Source organism: Homo sapiens, chromosome 4 (assembly GCF_000001405.40).
Source record: "Homo sapiens chromosome 4, GRCh38.p14 Primary Assembly".
Lineage (NCBI taxonomy): Eukaryota > Metazoa > Chordata > Mammalia > Primates > Hominidae > Homo > Homo sapiens.
Window position 1 is genome coordinate 52,817,394 of NC_000004.12, and position 18,083 is coordinate 52,835,476.

An 18,083-nucleotide genomic window follows, 5' to 3' on the forward strand; every position below is an offset into this window, starting at 1 on the left:
ACTCTAAAACGCAGAGCGCCTCTCCTCCTCCAAAGGAACGCAGTTCCTCACCAGCAACAGAACAAAGCTGGATGGAGAATGATTTTGACAAGCTGAGAGAAGAAGGCTTCAGACGATCAAATTACTCTGAGCTATGGGAGGACATTCAAACCAAAGGCAAAGAAGTTGAAAACTTTGAAAAAAATTTAGAAGAATGTATAACTAGAATAACCAATACAGAGAAGTGCTTAAAGGAGCTGATGGAGCTGAAAACCAAGGCTCGAGAACTACGTGAAGAATGCAGAAGCCTCAGGAGCCGATGCGATCAACTGGAAGAAAGGGTATCAGCAATGGAAGATGAAATGAATGAAATGAAGCGAGAAGGGAAGTTTAGAGAAAAAAGAATAAAAAGAAATGAGCAAAGCCTCCAAGAAATATGGGACTATGTGAAAAGACCAAATCTACGTCTGATTGGTGTACCTGAAAGTGATGTGGAGAATGGAACCAAGTTGGAAAACACTCTGCAGGATATTATCCAGGAGAACTTCCCCAATCTAGCAAGGCAGGCCAACGTTCAGATTCAGGAAATACAGAGAACGGCACAAAGATACTCCTGGAGAAGAGCAACTCCAAGACACATAATTGTCAGATTCACCAAAGTTGAAATGAAGGAAAAAATGTTAAGGGCAGCCAGAGAGAAAGGTCGGGTTACCCTCAAAGGAAAGACCATCAGACTAACAGCAGATCTCTCGGCAGAAACCTACAAGCCAGAAGAGAGTGGGGGCCAATATTCAACATTCTTAAAGAAAAGAATTTTCAACCCAGAATTTCATATCCAGCCAAGCTAAGCTTCATAAGTGAAGGAGAAATAAAATACTTTATAGACAAGCAAATGCTGAGAGATTTTGTCACCACCAGGCCTGCCCTAAAAGAGCTCCTGAAGGAAGCGCTAAACATGGAAAGGAACAACCGGTACCAGCCGCTGCAAAATCATGCCAAAATGTAAAGACCATCGAGTCTAGGAAGAAACTGCATCAACTAATGAGCAAAATAACCAGCTAACATCATAATGACAGGATCAAATTCACACATAACAATATTAACTTTAAATATAAATGGACTAAATTCTGCAATTAAAAGACACAGACTGGCAAGTTGGATAAAGAGTCAAGACCCATCAGTGTGCTGTATTCAGGAAACCCATCTCACGTGCAGAGACACACATAGGCTCAAAATAAAAGGATGGAGGAAGATCTACCAAGCCAATGGAAAACAAAAAAAGGCAGGGGTTGCAATCCTAGTCTCTGATAAAACAGACTTTAAACCAACAAAGATCAAAAGAGACAAAGAAGGCCATTACATAATGGTAAAGGGATCAATTCAACAAGAGGAGCTAACTATCCTAAATATTTATGCATCCAACACAGGAGCACCCAGATTCATAAAGCAAGTCCTGAGTGACCTACAAAGAGACTTAGACTCCCACACATTAATAATGGGAGACTTTAACACCCCACTGTCAACATTAGACAGATCAACGAGACAGAAAGTCAACAAGGATACCCAGGAATTGAACTCAGCTCTGCACCAAGCAGACCTAATAGACATCTACAGAACTCTCCACCCCAAATCAACAGAATATACATTTTTTTCAGCACCACACCACACCTATTCCAAAATTGACCACATAGTTGGAAGTAAAGCTCTCCTCAGCAAATGTAAAAGAACAGAAATTATAACAAACTATCTCTCAGACCACAGTGCAATCAAACTAGAACTCAGGATTAAGAATCTCACTCAAAGCCGATCAACTACATGGAAACTGAACAACCTGCTCCTGAATGACTACTGGGTACATAACGAAATGAAGGCAGAAATAAAGATGTTCTTTGAAACCAACGAGAACAAAGACACCACATACCAGAATCTCTGGGACGCATTCAAAGCAGTGTGTAGAGGGAAATTTATAGCACTAAATGCCTACAAGAGAAAGCAGGAAAGATCCAAAATTGACACCCTAACATCACAATTAAAAGAACTAGAAAAGCAAGAGCAAACACATTCCAAAGCTAGCAGAAGGCAAGAAATAACTAAAATCAGAGCAGAACTGAAGGAAATAGAGACACAAAAAACCCTTCAAAAAATCAATGAATCCAGGAGCTGGTTTTTTGAAAGGATCAACAAAATTGATAGACCGCTAGCAAGACTAATAAAGAAAAAAAGAGAGAAGAATCAAATAGACACAATAAAAAATGATAAAGGGGATATCACCACCGATCCCACAGAAATACAGACTAACATCAGAGAATACTACAAACACCTCTACGCAAATAAACTAGAAAATCTAGAAGAAATGGATACATTCCTCGACACATACACTCTCCCAAGACTAAACCAGGAAGAAGTTGAATCTCTGAATAGACCAATAACAGACTCTGAAATTGTGGCAATAATCAATAGTTTACCAACCAAAAAGAGTCCAGGACCAGATGGATTCACAGCCGAATTCTACCAGAGGTACAAGGAGGAACTGGTACCATTCCTTCTGAAACTATTCCAATCAATAGAAAAAGAGGGAATCCTCCCTAACTCATTTTATGAGGCCAGCATCATTCTGATACCAAAGCCGGGCAGAGACACAACCAAAAAAGAGAATTTTAGACCAATATCCTTGATGAACATTGATGCAAAAATCCTCAATAAAATACTGGCAAACCGAATCTAGCAGCACATCAAAAAGCTTATCCACCATGATCAAGTGGGCTTCATCCCTGGGATGCAAGGCTGGTTCAATATACGCAAATCAATAAATGTAATCCAGCATATAAACAGAGCCAAAGACAAAAACCACATGATTATCTCAATAGATGCAGAAAAAGTCCTTTGACAAAATTCAACAACCCTTCATGCTAAAAACTCTCAATAAATTAGGTATTGATGGGACGTATTTCAAAATAATAAGAGCTATCTATGACAAACCCACAGCCAATATCATACTGAATGGGCAAAAACTGGAAGCATTCCCTTTGAAAACTGGCACAAGACAGCGATGCCCTCTCTCACCGCTCCTATTCAACATAGTGTTGGAAGTTCTGGCCAGGGCAATCAGGCAGGAGAAGGAAATAAAGGGTATTCAATTAGGAAAAGAGGAAGTCAAATTGTCCCTGTTTGCAGACGACATGATTGTTTATCTAGAAAACCCCATCGTCTCAGCCCAAAATCTCCTTAAGCTGTTAAGCAACTTCAGCAAAGTCTCAGGATACAAAATCAATGTACGAAAATCACAAGCATTCTTATACACCAACAACAGACAAACAGAGAGCCAAATCATGAGTGAACTCCCATTCACAATTGCTTCAAAGAGAATAAAATACCTAGGAATCCAACTTACAAGGGATGTGAAGGACCTCTTCAAGGAGAACTACAAACCACTGCTCAAGGAAATAAAAGAGGACACAAACAAATGGAAGAACATTCCATGCTCATGGGTAGGAAGAATCAATATCGTGAAAATAGCCATACTGCCCAAGGTAATTTACAGATTCAATGCCATCCCCATCAAGCTACCAATGACTTTCTTCACAGAATTGGAAAAAACTACTTTAAAGTTCATATGGAACCAAAAAAGAGCCCGCATCACCAAGTCAATCCTAAGCCAAAAGAACAAAGCTGGAGGCATCACACTACCTGACTTCAAACTATACTACAAGGCTACAGTAACCAAAACAGCATGGTACTGGTACCAAAACAGAGATATAGATCAATGGAACAGAACAGAGCCCTCAGAAATAATGCCACATATCTACAACTATCTGATCTTTGACAAACCTGAGAAAAACAAGCAATGGGGAAAGGATTCCCTATTTAATAAATGGTGCTGGGAAAACTGGCTAGCCATATGTAGAAAGCTGAAACTGGATCCCTTCCTTACACCTTATACAAAAATCAATTCAAGATGGATTAAAGATTTAAACGTTAGACCTAAAACCATAAAAACCCTAGAAGAAAACCTAGGCATTACCATTGAGGACATAGGCGTGGGCAAGGACTTCATGTCCAAAACACCAAAAGCAATGGCAACAAAAGCCAAAATTGACAAATGGGATCTAATTAAACTAAAGAGCTTCTGCACAGCAAAAGAAACTACCATCAGAGTGAACAGGCAACCTACAACATGGGAGAAAATTTTCGCAACCTACTCATCTGACAAAGGGCTAATATCCAGAATCTACAATGAACTCAAACAAATTTACAAGAAAAAAACAAACAACCCCATCAAAAAGTGGGCGAAGGACATGAACAGACACTTCTCAAAAGAAGACATTTATGCAGCCAAAAAAAACATGAAGAAATGCTCATCATCACTGGCCATCAGAGAAATGCAAATCAAAACCACTATGAGATATCATCTCACACCAGTTAGAATGGCAATCATTAAAAAGTCAGGAAACAACAGGTGCTGGAGAGGATGTGGAGAAATAGGAACACTTTTACACTGTTGGTGGGACTGTAAACTAGTTCAACCATTGTGGAAGTCAGTGTGGCGATTCCTCAGGGATCTAGAACTAGAAATACCATTTGACCCAGCCATCCCATTACTGGGTATATACCCAAATGACTATAAATCATGCTGCTATAAAGACACATGCACACGTATGTTTATTGCGGCACTATTCACAATAGCAAAGACTTGGAACCAACCCAAATGTCCAACAATGATAGACTGGATTAAGAAAATGTGGCACATATACACCATGGAATACTATGCAGCCATAAAAAATGATGAGTTCATGTCCTTTGTAGGGACATGGATGAAATTGGAAACCATCATTCTCAGTAAACTATCGCAAGAACAAAAAACCAAACACCGCATATTCTCACTCATAGGTGGGAATTGAACAATGAGATCACATGGACACAGGAAGGGGAATATCACACTCTGGGGACTGTGGTGGGGTCGGGGGAGGGGGGAGGGATAGCACTGGGAGATATACCTAATGCTAGATGACACGTTAGTGGGTGCAGCGCACCAGCATGGCACATGTATACATATGTAACTAACCTGCACAATGTGCACATGTACCCTAAAACTTAGAGTATAATAAAAAAAAAAATTAAAAAAAAAAAAAAATAACAGACCATAAACATTTTCCCACATCACAAAATTTGCTTCCCAAGCATGACTCTCTGTGGCTACACAGGGTGCCGTGTATGACTATACTATAATTGGTGTAGCCAGTGAGAAGTTGTTTAAACCTATTGCCCTTGCAGTGCAATGCTATCTTAAAATACAGGCAAGAACATTATGTTCTTTTTGGTAGGAACATTAAAACATGCAGGGGAGTTTCTGCACATGGATTGCATGACTATGAGGTTTTAAATTGATTCCACCCATTGGTTTGGGAAGACAGAGAAAGTATGCTTCCACTTAGTGCAACTCATGTCTTGCGGGGTGGAGAGAGCTGTCTCTTGATGCATTTAGATTCTTAGCTCTTCCATAGTAAACAAGAAGCTTCAGCGAGGGGCAGTGAGTCACAAAAATGGAACATATTTATTTGTATGGTTATTCCCAAAGTGATACAACCAGGAGACCTAGGGTTTGGGGAGCCAACCTCAGCTGATGTGTGAGGCTGGCAGAAGGCCACAGGCATGAGGGTTCTCTTGGACTGGCATTGCTGGGTGTCAGGGCATGAACACACCTCTCCCTGGACGAAAAAACCTGCTAATTGCCTTGTAAGAAACATCATCACAGACTCAAGGAGTTGACTAATGGATTCTCGGAAAATTGCCAGCTCATAATCTCTGTGCCTTGAGAATTGGGATAAACATTGAGGTCAATTGCAAAGCCCTATTTGACCAAACCCACAGCCCACAGTCAGTCCAAAGCTAGAGCCCTAGTGTTTTCTATGCCAGCTCTTTTCATTTTTTCTGAATTCACAAAACTAAATGACTCAGTTTAATGAAGGCATTCGGACTAGGGGAGGTTAAAGGGCAGATGCAAAGCAGGAATTCCTAACCCCAGAGGCCACTCCTAAGGGTCACGGTATTTGGTAAGTGTGTTGAAATACCTCAGATGGGAAGGCCACATACATGAAATCATCAGAAGGATGATTTCACATTAATCCACAAATTAAACTTTAGGAGGAGAGAAGGAGTCCATATCACTGGGCCTTGATGGAGAGCTTTTCTCAGGTAACAGGAAACACAGAACATCAAGTTCTCCTCAGAGATGACTCACATATTAAACATGACCTGCTAGGTACTCTTGAATCTGAAACCACAATGAGCTGTCTCTCATCACTTCCAAGGAACCGCATTTTCTAGAATTTCACCCAGTTCTTGTATCAGAGACACTATTGGATGGTATGAGTTTTCTAGGACTGCTGTAACAAAATGCCACAAACTGGGTGGCATAAAACACCAGAAATTCCTTCTCTCACAGTTCTGGACGTTAGAAGTCTAAAATCAAGATGGTGGGCAGGGCCACACTCCCTCCAAAGCCTCTAGGGGAGGATCCCTCCTTGCCTCTTCCAGTTCATGGAGGCTTCATCCAGGTGTTCCCTGGCTTCTGGCTGCATAGCCCTAATGTCTGCCTCCTTCTTCATATGGGCTGTCTTCCCTCTGTGTATGTCTGTGTCCAAATTTCCCTCTTATTATAAGGAAACCAATCATATTGGGTTAGGGTCTGCTCTAATGACCACATTGCAACTTGATTGCATCTGCAAATACCTTATTTCCAAATAAGGTCATATTCACAAGTACCAGGAGTTAGGATTTCAACGTGCCTTTTTAGAAGACACAATGTGACCCATGATAGCTGGAAAGTCGAAGGTCCAGAATTATAGATACAGCTGCATCACCAACTGCTGTGTGATCCTAAGCAAACTGCTTTTCATCCCTGGGCCCAGGTATCCTCATCTGTCCCCACAATTACCCTCATGACTCGCAGATTCAATTTCTTTCAGATCAGTCAAAGGGAATAGACTCATTGTAGAAAGGGTCTACCAGGCGGGAGCAGCATCACAATGCTAGCAGGCAATGCCAGGACTGGTGTGGAGGGGTCTGTGTGATGGCCCGGGTGTGCCGAGTGGAGAATGAAGGGCACCAGGATACCCCCAGAAGTCTCTGGCTAAGGCCTTTTGTGGTGCCGGCAGCCACGCCATACACTAAAGAGCAACCAGCCAAATTGCCATGCTCCTTCCCCCTGGCCCTGTAGGCAGCCAACCCCTGGGACAGCAGTCATGATACTCAGTTCTAAGGCCCAACAAGCACAGCCAACAGCCTTTGGCTTCCAGAGCTCATCATGAAACTGACATGAGCAGGTGAGATCCAGTTGGCTTAAACAACTAGCGTAATCAATCCAGACTAAATATACCTCCCCTTGGCCCAGCTTAAATATTTAGACAGCCACAATGCCTGTGTGCAGAGGCAGTGAGTGGATGAGAAAGTTTTAGCTCTGGTGAGGCTGAAGGGACTTGACATGTTATTGAATCAAAGGCTGTAGAAGGTGAAGCTGGGGCCGCCACACATTCCAGGAATGCGGATATAGCACTCTCAGTGTGTATCTGAGGCTGACAGGGTTTGACAATCTCCATCTGGGAACAATAACCTCGAGCAGCAGGCCAGGCCATGCTGAGGGCTGCTCTGCCTCCCTCCTGGCTCTGCCCCTCGTCTCTGGCCCTGAGCTGTGCACTCTGAGATGGATAGTGGAGGGGAAGTCCATGTACCATGGTCCTCTGCAGCACTGCTCTGCATGCAGGAGCCCTGGAGAAGCCAGGGGTGGGGGCCAGCCTCACCGAATGCTTGCAATTCCAGGAGCAGTGGGCTGAGGACAGAATCCATTTCCCCCCTCTGGGAGACCTGAGTGGAATGCCACAGGGGAAGGCAATTTGGGACGCTGACTGATCACCCAGCCAGCTGCAAAGTCTCCTAGCATCGGGTGGAGAAGCCAGGGGGTGGCAATGTGTTTACGTCACGTTTAATACCTTGGGCTATCTTTGTGTGAACGGGGGAAGTCAGGAGGCTTTCATCTGTGAAGTTCAAAGCACTGTTCACAAACTACCTCGGCTAATCCTCACTCTGATCTGAATTTTGTTGTGTAGTTAAACTGATCACAAGAATTTGGTGGATAGGGCTAGGGTGGGCCTCTGGGACAGGCTTCCCCATGCTTGGTTCCCACGTGGCCAGGCAGTGAGGTGGGGGGAGCGGGTTTATGGTGCAGAGAGTGCTGGAGCAGGAAGGAAGACCTCAACACCACATCACACAGCCCAGGAGTGTCCTGCTTTATACGGGTGACACTGAGTGCAGGGAATGTGATGAGACATACTTTCCTGAGCTCCAGAATGACAATCTCTGACTACCTTCTGGGCATGTCCACAGGTCTTTCAAACACAGCCTGTCCAGAACTAAGCTCAGTGTCTTTCCCTATCTGGCTTTCTCCCTGCAGTACTGCCCTTAGCCTGGGTTTCTGGGACCCTGCCCAGAATGGGGGACATTGAGGCCCCCATTCTTTTCTCTTCTGGCTGTGCCCCTTTCCACAGGAACATCCCATCACCTTCCACACCAACCCCTCAACTATGTTTATGCTCCAGGACCCCAGAATTCCCTGCCCAAACAGCTCCAGGCTTCTTACAGGGCCTATGCAGGCCTCTGGCACTGGTTTGTCCTCTGGAGGGTGCCATCTGCTGCAGGGGCAGTTCTTAGTGTGGATGGGGCATTGGCGGAGCTTGGCTGTGCAGACTGGAGTGCCACTTGTTGGGCTCCTCATGGTGCAGGAAGACGGGTAGGCTTTGGGTCACTGGCCTCCATGGATAGTGTGGTCCCAGGTCCTGGCCTGTCACCCTGTATTATCCAGCTCTGTGACATATCATCATCATGTTTAAACCCCTCCTGCCATCTTGATCAGATCATCCTGATTAGCCAGTTACTAACTTCTCTTGATGCCACCTCCACAACAGCTCTTGGGCACACTCCCTTCTCTCCACCCACACTGCCTCGGCCTCTCCTCTGTTCTCCTGGGTAAAGCAAAATAACAGCCTCCTCCCTGGTCTCCCTGCCTCTACACCTGCCCCTCCCCAATTCATTCTCTGCACTGTGACCAGATGATCTTTTGTCCTCTAATCTTGTGACTTCATTGTTATTCACAATCAGAATAACTTCTACTTGACCTTCAGCTCCCAACTTGGAGGTCAAAGATCTACCAGTGAGGTACTGGGGAGCCTCACACTCCACCCCTCAGCACCCTACACCATGCATGTGAATTGTCTATGACCCCCACTGGACTGTGAGCACCATGAGGGCAGTGTCATTGCTTGTGTTGGTTCTTGGGGTCACAATGTCCTATGTAATGCCTTGGGTAGGTTAGATGTTGTGATGGTTATTGTAGACATCAACTTGACTGAATTAAGGAATATCTACAAACTTGATAAAGCATAATTTTGGGTGTGTCCTTGGGGATGTTTCCAGAGGAGATTAACATGACAGTCTGAGCGGACTGAGTGGGGAAGATTTGCTCTCAGTGAGGTGGGCACCATCCAATTGTCTGGGGACCCAGAAAGAACAAAAACAGAGACAAGGCAAATGTGTCTATCCATCTGCTGGAGCTGGGATACACTCTTCTTCTCCTGTTCTTGGACAAAAACTCCAGGCTCTCCAGCCTTTGGACTCTAGGACTTACATCAGTGAACCCCTGAGTTCTCATTCCCTTAGCCTCAAACTGAGAATTACACCATCTACTTCCCTGGTTCTGAGGCCTTCAAACTTGAGCTGAGCCATAAGCTCAGCTTCCCAGCATCCAGTATCCAGGGTCTTCAGCTTACAGATGGCCTGTTATGGAGCTTCTCAGCCTCTATAATTACGTGAGCCAATTCCCCGAATAAATTCCCTCTTAGCCGAGCGCAGTGACTCATGCCTGTAATCCCAACACTTTGGGATGCCAAGGCAGGAGGATCACTTGGGGCCAGGAGTTTGAGACCAGCCAGGGCAACAAAGGGAACTCCATCTCTAGAAAAAATTTAAAAATTAGTTGGGTGTGGTGGTACATTCCTGTAGCCATAGCCTCTCGGGAGGCTGAGGTGGGAGGACTGCTTGAGCCCAGGAGTTCAAGGCTGCAGTGAGCTATGATTGTGCCACTGCACTCCAGCCTGGGCAGCAGAGTGAGACCAGTCTCTAAATAAATAAAAATGGACTGGATGCAGTGGCTCACACCTGTAAGGCCAACATTTTGAGAGGCCAAGGTGGGCAGATTGCTTGAACCCAGTAGTTCAAGACCCACCTGGGCAACATAGGGAGATCCTACCTCTAAGACAGATAATAAATAAATAAATAAATGTTTTAAAAGCTCATCTCAGATATCTATATATTTATACTATTGGTTCTGTCTTCCTGGAGAAACCTGACTAATACAGATGTTTGACAAATATTTGTTGAATGCATAAAGGATCCAGACAGACAGTACCATTGCAAGAACTAGAATCTGCCAGGTGCAGTGGCCCATGCCTGTAATCCCAACACTTTGGGGGGCTGAGGCAAGCAATCACGAGGTCAGCAGATCAAGACCATCCTGGTCAACACGGTGAAACCCCATCTCTACTAAAAATACAAAAATTAGCTAGGTGTGATGGTGCATGCCTGTAATCCCAGCTACTCGGGAGGCTGAGACAGGAGAACTGCTTGAACTCGGGAGGCCGAGGTTGCAGTGAGCAGACATTGTGCCACTGCACTACAGCCTGGCAATGGAGCAAGACTCCATCTAAAACAATAAAAATAAAAATAAAAAATAAAAAAAACAAATTAGACTCTAGGTCTGCTAGTCAGTGTCAGACTTATGAGTGCATCAGCCAGGTAACTTCACAGGCCACAAATCTTTTTTCTTCCAAATTTATTTACCTTATTACCAGCAATAATAATAATGATAATTTATGTATGCGATATAAGTTATTATTGATAACTGAGTGACTAGGTGGGGTTTCCAAGATACCTTAGACTGTTAATATTCTAAAATTGTGAAACTTCTCCTTATCTGAAAATGGAAGAATTCAGATGAGGGCTAACTTTGTGCAGACCTATTATTAAAGGGCTGGAAACTTGAAAGTGTTGAAAAATCTATGGTTTCTTTTTTTATTGATGCATAATAATTGTACATGTTTATGGGATACATGTAATATTTTGATACATGCATACAATGTGTAACAATCAGGTCAGGTAATTAGGATATCCGTCATCTCAAACTTTTTTTTGTTGTTGTTATACTTTAAGTTCTAGGGTACATGTGCACAATGTGCAGGTTTGTTACATATGTATACATGTGCCATGCTGGTGTGCTGCACCCATTAACTCATCATTTACCTTAGGTATTTCTCCTAATGCTATCCCTCCCCCCTCCTCCCACCCCACGACAGGCCCCAGAGTGTGATGCTCCCCACCCTGTGTCCAAGTGTTCTCATTGTTCAATTCCCACCTATGAGTGAGAACACTGTCATCTGAAACTTTTATCATTTCTTTGTGTTGGAAACATTTCACATCTCCTAGCTATTTTGAAATATGCAATAAATCATTGTTAACTATAGTCACCCTACTGTGCTACCCAACACTAGAACTTATTCCTTCTGTCTAACTGTATGTTTGTACCTATTAACCATGCTTGCTTCATTCCCCTCTTCACCCTTCACAACCTCCGGTAATGATCATTCTGCTCATGAGATCCACATTTTTAGCTTTCACATATGAGTGAGAACATGTGACATTTCTCTTTCTGTACCTGAACCACCAGTCTTTGAAGGGAGTTTAAACATTGCTGTGAAGCTAAAGCATCCTTGGAAATGTGCCAACGTGGAACCAACTCTATTTACTAGAATTTCTCTCTAGGAGAATATAGTATAATATGTCTGGAAAAAATGTTCTGACATTTTCTGGGGAGTATTTGAGTAACAAGGGGTAGTAAATATGGTGACTTACAAAGTGCTTCCTTTTTTGCTAGGCAGGTATGCAAGTTGGGGGCCAGAGCAGAGTTGTTGGGGACAATAAAATGGAAGCTGAGCTGCTACGAATACTCCCCATTCTTCCTATTTCCCTCAAATCACTGTCAGTGTCTCCTCACGTAGCACAGTCTCCTCTGTATCTAGGTGTGCTTGTGCGTCTGAGCTCTCACCACGGAGATGTAAGCAGAATTTTTGTATAGGACTGCTGGGAAGGCTTTATAAAATGTAGAGGATGTGAATACTTTTTTTGCCCTTCCTTGGTTCCTCCTTCATGCTGCCTGGAATGTGAATGTAATGGCTGGAGCTACTAGCAGCTATACTGGATCACGAGACAACCTTCAAGAAGGAAAGCAATGAACTAGGTTGGTGGACCAGAAAGCTAAAAGGAACCTCAGTCCCTTTTGAGTTTATAGAGCCACTACAGAAACCCTCTAGATTTCTTTTATGTAGGAGAGGAATAAGCCTCTTCCTGAAGGTACCACACTCAGGTTTCTGATGCTAGCAACTAAATCCAATTTCTAATTGAGTCAGGGGCCAAATGATTAGCTTGCCCTGGGGTCCTACATGCCTCAGTTAAGTTCATTCTGATCCTGGCCACTAGCCAAGGACTCCCCTTCCTCTTCCTTTCTCCTTTTTCTCTTCCCACATTGGCAAAGCCCCAGGCACCTGATGTCTCCCATGAGCAACCCGTGAACAATTCCCTTCCAACTTGGCAAGATGCACCCAGTCTTGCCAAAACAGTGATCAGTAGGGGGATTCAAACATAAGCAAGACTCTACAAATGTTGTAACAAGAAAAACTCTTTCTCAGAAGTTTGGGCCTTTTCATTGATTATGGAATCTGTTTCCTGGAATAAAGTCGATGAAATGTGGTAGTATTCTTGAAACTGTAGACACAGACAACACTAGTCTAGGATGTTCAGAGCACTTTGTACAGCTCTTCCAGGGATCCAGGGTGCAAGGGAGAACAGTGGGGAAGTGGAAGAGACATTGTTCTTCCAGTGGGAAAAGGCAGAGTGTAGGAGGTGCAATGGCAGACCTTTCCCATGGCAGTCATCCCCCTTCTGATGGTACCATTGTATTTCCCATACATATGACTTCCTGAATGTGCACTGGTGGGGTTGTGCCCCATCCTGGAGCCTGGAATGGAGGGCTATTCACTGACTTCCATGGGAAGCAAGAGTGCCTCAAAAGGCAGGGCTTTGAAAGGTGAGCTGACTTGCCTGAGGTCACAAAGCTTGTTGGCACAGAGTCCATTCAATAATAATAATTAATAATAATAATAGTAACTAACAGTGATATTATTACCATAACATAAAATATAATAACTTATTTTATGACAAATATCCTTCTTTGTACTTTACACATTTCAATTCTTTTAATCTTCAGAACAACCTTATGCGGCATTCAAATCTGCATTTTATAGATGAGGGGATGAAGAACAAGTAAATTAAACATCACCCAAAATTACCTCGCTGACTCATGGCAGAACTTAGATGGGGAGGGCCCTCAGTCCAGTGTTTTTGCTACCATAGCCCAGGTGCTTAGGAAAAGTTTCCAGATCAGAGTAATTTTTAAAATTTTAACTTTTATTCTTTTTTAAAAAAATTTTATTTCCATAGGTTTTTGGGAAACAGGTGGTATTTGGCCACATGCTATAAACATGCATGTTTATAGCAGCAAAATTCGTGATTGCAAAAATATGGAACCAGCCCAAATGCCCATCAACCACCATGAGTGAATAAAGAAATTGTGGGATAGATAGACAGATAGATAGATAGATAGATAGATAGATAGATAGATAGATAGATAGATAGACAGACAGATAGATATGATGGAATACTATACAGAGTCATTTTTGCAAGGGCACTTCTCTTTAGTGTCTTCTTGGGATAGTGCATCTCCATCTGCACATGACCAGGCTTCGGTGACAGGCTGGAGTCACACCTAGGGTTGGGGAACATGATCCCAGAAGCAGAGAAAGCTCACTTTCTTCCTCTCTGCTCTGTCTTTGTCTTCCTCACAGGCAAGGAGGGCCTTGATGGGCAACTTAGCAAATGTCATTCCCTGGGGGTGGTCTGAGAAGATGACCATTGAGTATTTAAATCCGGGGACAGGAGAACTTTTAAACAACAGGTGCACTGATAAAAAGCTGGTGTCTTATTTTTATAAACAGGATTCTGTTTGAAATGCACAAGAAGGATGTATGTGGAGCTTGACTGTTAGCACGTCTGTGGTGACTCATTTACAAAACCTACTATCAACTATCACCCTCTACTTGATCTTTCTTGAAAATGTAGGGTTTTGATACAGGTATTATTTAAATATCTCTATATTTATGATTCTGAAATATAATCTGATGCTCCAAGGGTGGGGCTTCTGGGAATTATGACACACCCTGTGACCCCATCATAGGTGAGTGCTCTGGGGACACAAAAGTGGACCTCGCGTAGGTCATTGGGAAGACACCCCTATGGCTGGCGGGGTGCCTCAAGCCCAGCCATGCTTCACTGGACAAATATTTTTGGATCTCTTTTCTCTCTTTTTAAAAAATCTTTACTCACTCCCTATATGATCTCATATTTTTGAGTGACATCTTTTCACTTAGGACTTCCACATTTTTATTAAAGTATCTACTTGGCATTTTCTCTTGGATGTCCAATGGACATCTCGAACTCAGCATGTCTAAAACTACTTCTAATCAATCCCTTGAAGATAGCTCAGTTCCAGCTTTCCCATCTCAGTAGATGAAAACTGTCTTCTTAGACGTCAGGTCCGAAAACTTGGAACCATTCTCGACTTTTCTCTTTCTTTCAAACCCGACATTCAGACTCTCAAAAAAACTCTTCTTGGCTCACCTATCAAAATATTTCCAGAATTTGATCACCCTTCACCACCACTACCTTGGTCCAAGTGCTAACTTCTCTCACTTGGATTATTTCAATAACCTTATAATTGGCCTCCCACTTCCACTCTTGGCCTCTTTGGTCTACTGTCAACATGGGAGCCAAGAATAAACCTGCTAGATAAAAGTGCAATCATGTCAACCCTCTGCTCAGAATCTTCCAGTGGCTTCTTAACTCTCAGAAGGAATGTACAGTCCAGGTTCTGATTTACAAGTGTCATATGCTTTTCTTGCCTTCTTCTTCATTACATTGCACACTGCGTCTTCTTTGCCTGTCTCTCATTCCTCCACTCCAGCCTCCTTGCTTTTTCTTTAGCATGCCAAGACCACTGCCACATCAGAGACTTTGCACCTGCCATTCCTGCCTACGGACAACCCCCACCTCTCAACACACAACTTCTCCCCATTGGCCACACAATGGGTGCTCTCACTTCCTTTAGGCATTTCTTGAAGCCACCTTCTCAGTGAGGTCCCCTGTCCATCCGATGTAAAATGTTACCTCCTACTGGTATGTTGTAACCCCTCCTCCTGAGGTAGACATGGCAGTTGCTCCATCCAGAATCTTTTCCTCCCAGTGCACCCACCCTGAGCTGCTGTGAAGATCAGCTGCCAAAGACTCCCAGATGTCCTGCTTCCCTGGAGAATTTCACTCAACTAACAGGTACTGCCTTGATGGGAAATCACATTCCCTTCTGCACCCACGCTAGGGCAGCCTGCAGCCAGTGATGGAAAGATACCGGAACACAAAAGGCCGCTTCCTTCACCTTAAGGGGAAGGGGGAGAATTCTGCAGTGTTATGTGAATATTCCAGAGTCCCTGTGGATCAGACCTAAGACCACATCTTGTTTGGCTTTTTTCCCATTCACTCCTTGATTCCTTCCTTCACTCTTTTTCATCTGAGAGCTCTCCCTCAAAACTAAATCAGGGCTGGGTATGGTGATTCATGCCTGTAACCCCAGCACTTTGGGAGGCTGAGACAGGCAGATCACCTGAGGTCAGGAGTTTGAAACCAGCCTGGCAAACATGGTGAAACCCCGTCTCTACTAAAAATACAAAAAAAAAAAAATTAGCCTGGCATGGTGGCAGGCGCCTCTAGTCCCAGCTACTTGGGAGGCTGAGGCAGGAGAATCACCTGAATCCAGAGGCGGGGGTTGCAGTGAGCTGAGATTGTGCCATAGCACTCCAGCCTGGGCGACAAGAGTGAAACTCTGTCTCAAAAAACAAAAACAAAAACAAGAACAAAACAAACAAACAAACACCCTAAAAACTAAATCAGCTGCCCTGAATCCCTGTCTCAGGCTCTGTTTCTAAGACATTTCTGTTATTCTTTTCTTCTTAGTGATCACCTAACAAACTATATATTTAACTTTATCCATCTCTATCACTGCAATGCCACTCTGTGAGGACAGTCACTTTGCTTTGTTCACTGACGCATCCTCAGTACCTAGCACAGTACCTGGTACATAGTAGATGCTCAGTAAATATATGTGGAAAGAAGGAATGAGTCCTTATATCCCTGTGAATCTTGGAACTTACAAAAATCCTGCTCTTGTTAATCAGGCGGGGGGCCTGGACTCTTAATTCTGTTGCCCACACACTCTTCCCACTTTCTCATGCATTTTCTCTGGCCTATTAAGGTGGCTTTGGATTGCAGTGGTCTACTCTGCCCTATCTTGGGTGACTTCCCAGTAACCTATATCACTTGCTTGTTTGTCCAAAGGCACCTGTCAGCTCCTCTTTGGACTACTTTCCTCATTCAATCTGCCCATCCACTCCCAGTAAAATAACAAGGTAAGCAAGAGAAATCTATTCATCAGCATCCAGGTGTGGTATGAAAACTAGGTAGATGAGGAAAGGTAAGAGGTAGAAGACAGCCAGTGGCTGTTCTTCACAGTTGGAGTGAGAGATCAGAATGTGTGATAGAGATGGGAATGACCACAGACAAGGGGAGAAGCTCCCTTTTTGGTGTGGGGGTGGATTGGGTATAACCCTGCTAAAGCAAGCTGAGAGCCACTGCCTGACTCATGTTAAAAGTGAATTTTGGCATAATTACAAGAGGATATCTTAGCACTGTGCTCCAGCCAAGCTGTGCTGCTATTACCTAGGAGTGATTAAAGGTCTAGAGACGTGAAATCAGGCAATCCAGGCGGGGCTCAAATCTTGGAGGTTCTGCACTCTTGACTAGTCAGCGACCTCAGTGCTTCCCTGGGCTGTTCTGGTGAGTAGTATTCATTGGTTTCAATAACAGCAAATGCTTCCTGCTGCTCTTTATGTGATAGGCCATATTCTGAGTGCTTGCTAAGTACTAACTTATTGATCCTTCTGATAACCCTGTGAGCCACATACCCGTATGTCTTATTATTATACACACTTGTCAAAGAGGAAGCAATGGAAGTACAGAGAGCTCAAGCAACTTGTCCAAGACTGCAGTCAGTGGTGGAACTGGGATTTGAACCCAGTTTTCTCACTCCACTGCTTGTGCTTAACTGAAGCAAAAGGAAATGCATTGAAGGATATTCGGTGCTTGCAGAATTAATGGGAAGCCAGTGTCAGGCCTCTGAGCCCAAGCTAAGCCATCATATCCCCTGTGACCTGCACGTACACATCCAGGTGGCTGGTTCCTGCCTTAACTGATGACATTCCATCACAAAAGAAATGAAAATGGCCTGTTCCTGCCTTAACTGATGGCATTATCTTGTGAAATTCCTTCTCCTGGCTCATCCTGTCTCAAAAGCTCCCCTGCTGAGCACCCCACTCCTGCCTGCCAGAGAACAACCCTCCTTTTTCCTTTACCTACCCAAATCCTATAAAACGGCCCCACCCCTATCTCCCTTCACTTTTCGGACTCAGCCCACCTGCACCCAGGTGAAATAAACAGCTTTATTGCTCGCACAAAGCCTGTTTGGTGGTCTCTTCACACGGACGCGAGTGAAAGCCAGGAGGACCAGCTCCAAAATAGGCAGGTGTGAAGGTATTCTAGAGAACTAGGAGGCAAGATCAATAAGGAAAAGTCTTTAACAGAAAAAGTCTCATCAGGATGAATAAGCCCCAGCCATTCTTACTCTGCTGAAATTCTAACAGGAAAGGGTGGGCTTGGTCTAGCTCAGGTCATGCACCTCCTCTTTGGATCAAATGAAGAAAATAACTCCTTTAATGGGTACAAAAAATAGTTAGAATGAATGAATAAGGCCTAGTATTTGATAGCACAACAGGGTGACTATA

At 43.7% G+C, this 18,083-nt stretch overlaps 3 annotated features.

Moving 5' to 3' along the window:
* Positions 15,118-15,618: an enhancer, noted in NCBI's record as "H3K27ac hESC enhancer chr4:53698678-53699178 (GRCh37/hg19 assembly coordinates)". NCBI's record gives its function as "activates a minimal SCP1, AML or CMV promoter by ChIP-STARR-seq in primed H9 embryonic stem cells {active_cell/tissue: H9 hESC(primed)}" and the evidence as "EXISTENCE:reporter gene assay evidence [ECO:0000049][PMID:30033119]".
* Positions 16,157-17,014: an enhancer, noted in NCBI's record as "OCT4-NANOG-H3K27ac hESC enhancer chr4:53699717-53700574 (GRCh37/hg19 assembly coordinates)". NCBI's record gives its function as "activates a minimal SCP1, AML or CMV promoter by ChIP-STARR-seq in naive H9 embryonic stem cells {active_cell/tissue: H9 hESC(naive)}" and the evidence as "EXISTENCE:reporter gene assay evidence [ECO:0000049][PMID:30033119]".
* Positions 17,015-17,871: an enhancer, noted in NCBI's record as "OCT4-NANOG-H3K27ac-H3K4me1 hESC enhancer chr4:53700575-53701431 (GRCh37/hg19 assembly coordinates)". NCBI's record gives its function as "activates a minimal SCP1, AML or CMV promoter by ChIP-STARR-seq in naive and primed H9 embryonic stem cells {active_cell/tissue: H9 hESC(naive and primed)}" and the evidence as "EXISTENCE:reporter gene assay evidence [ECO:0000049][PMID:30033119]".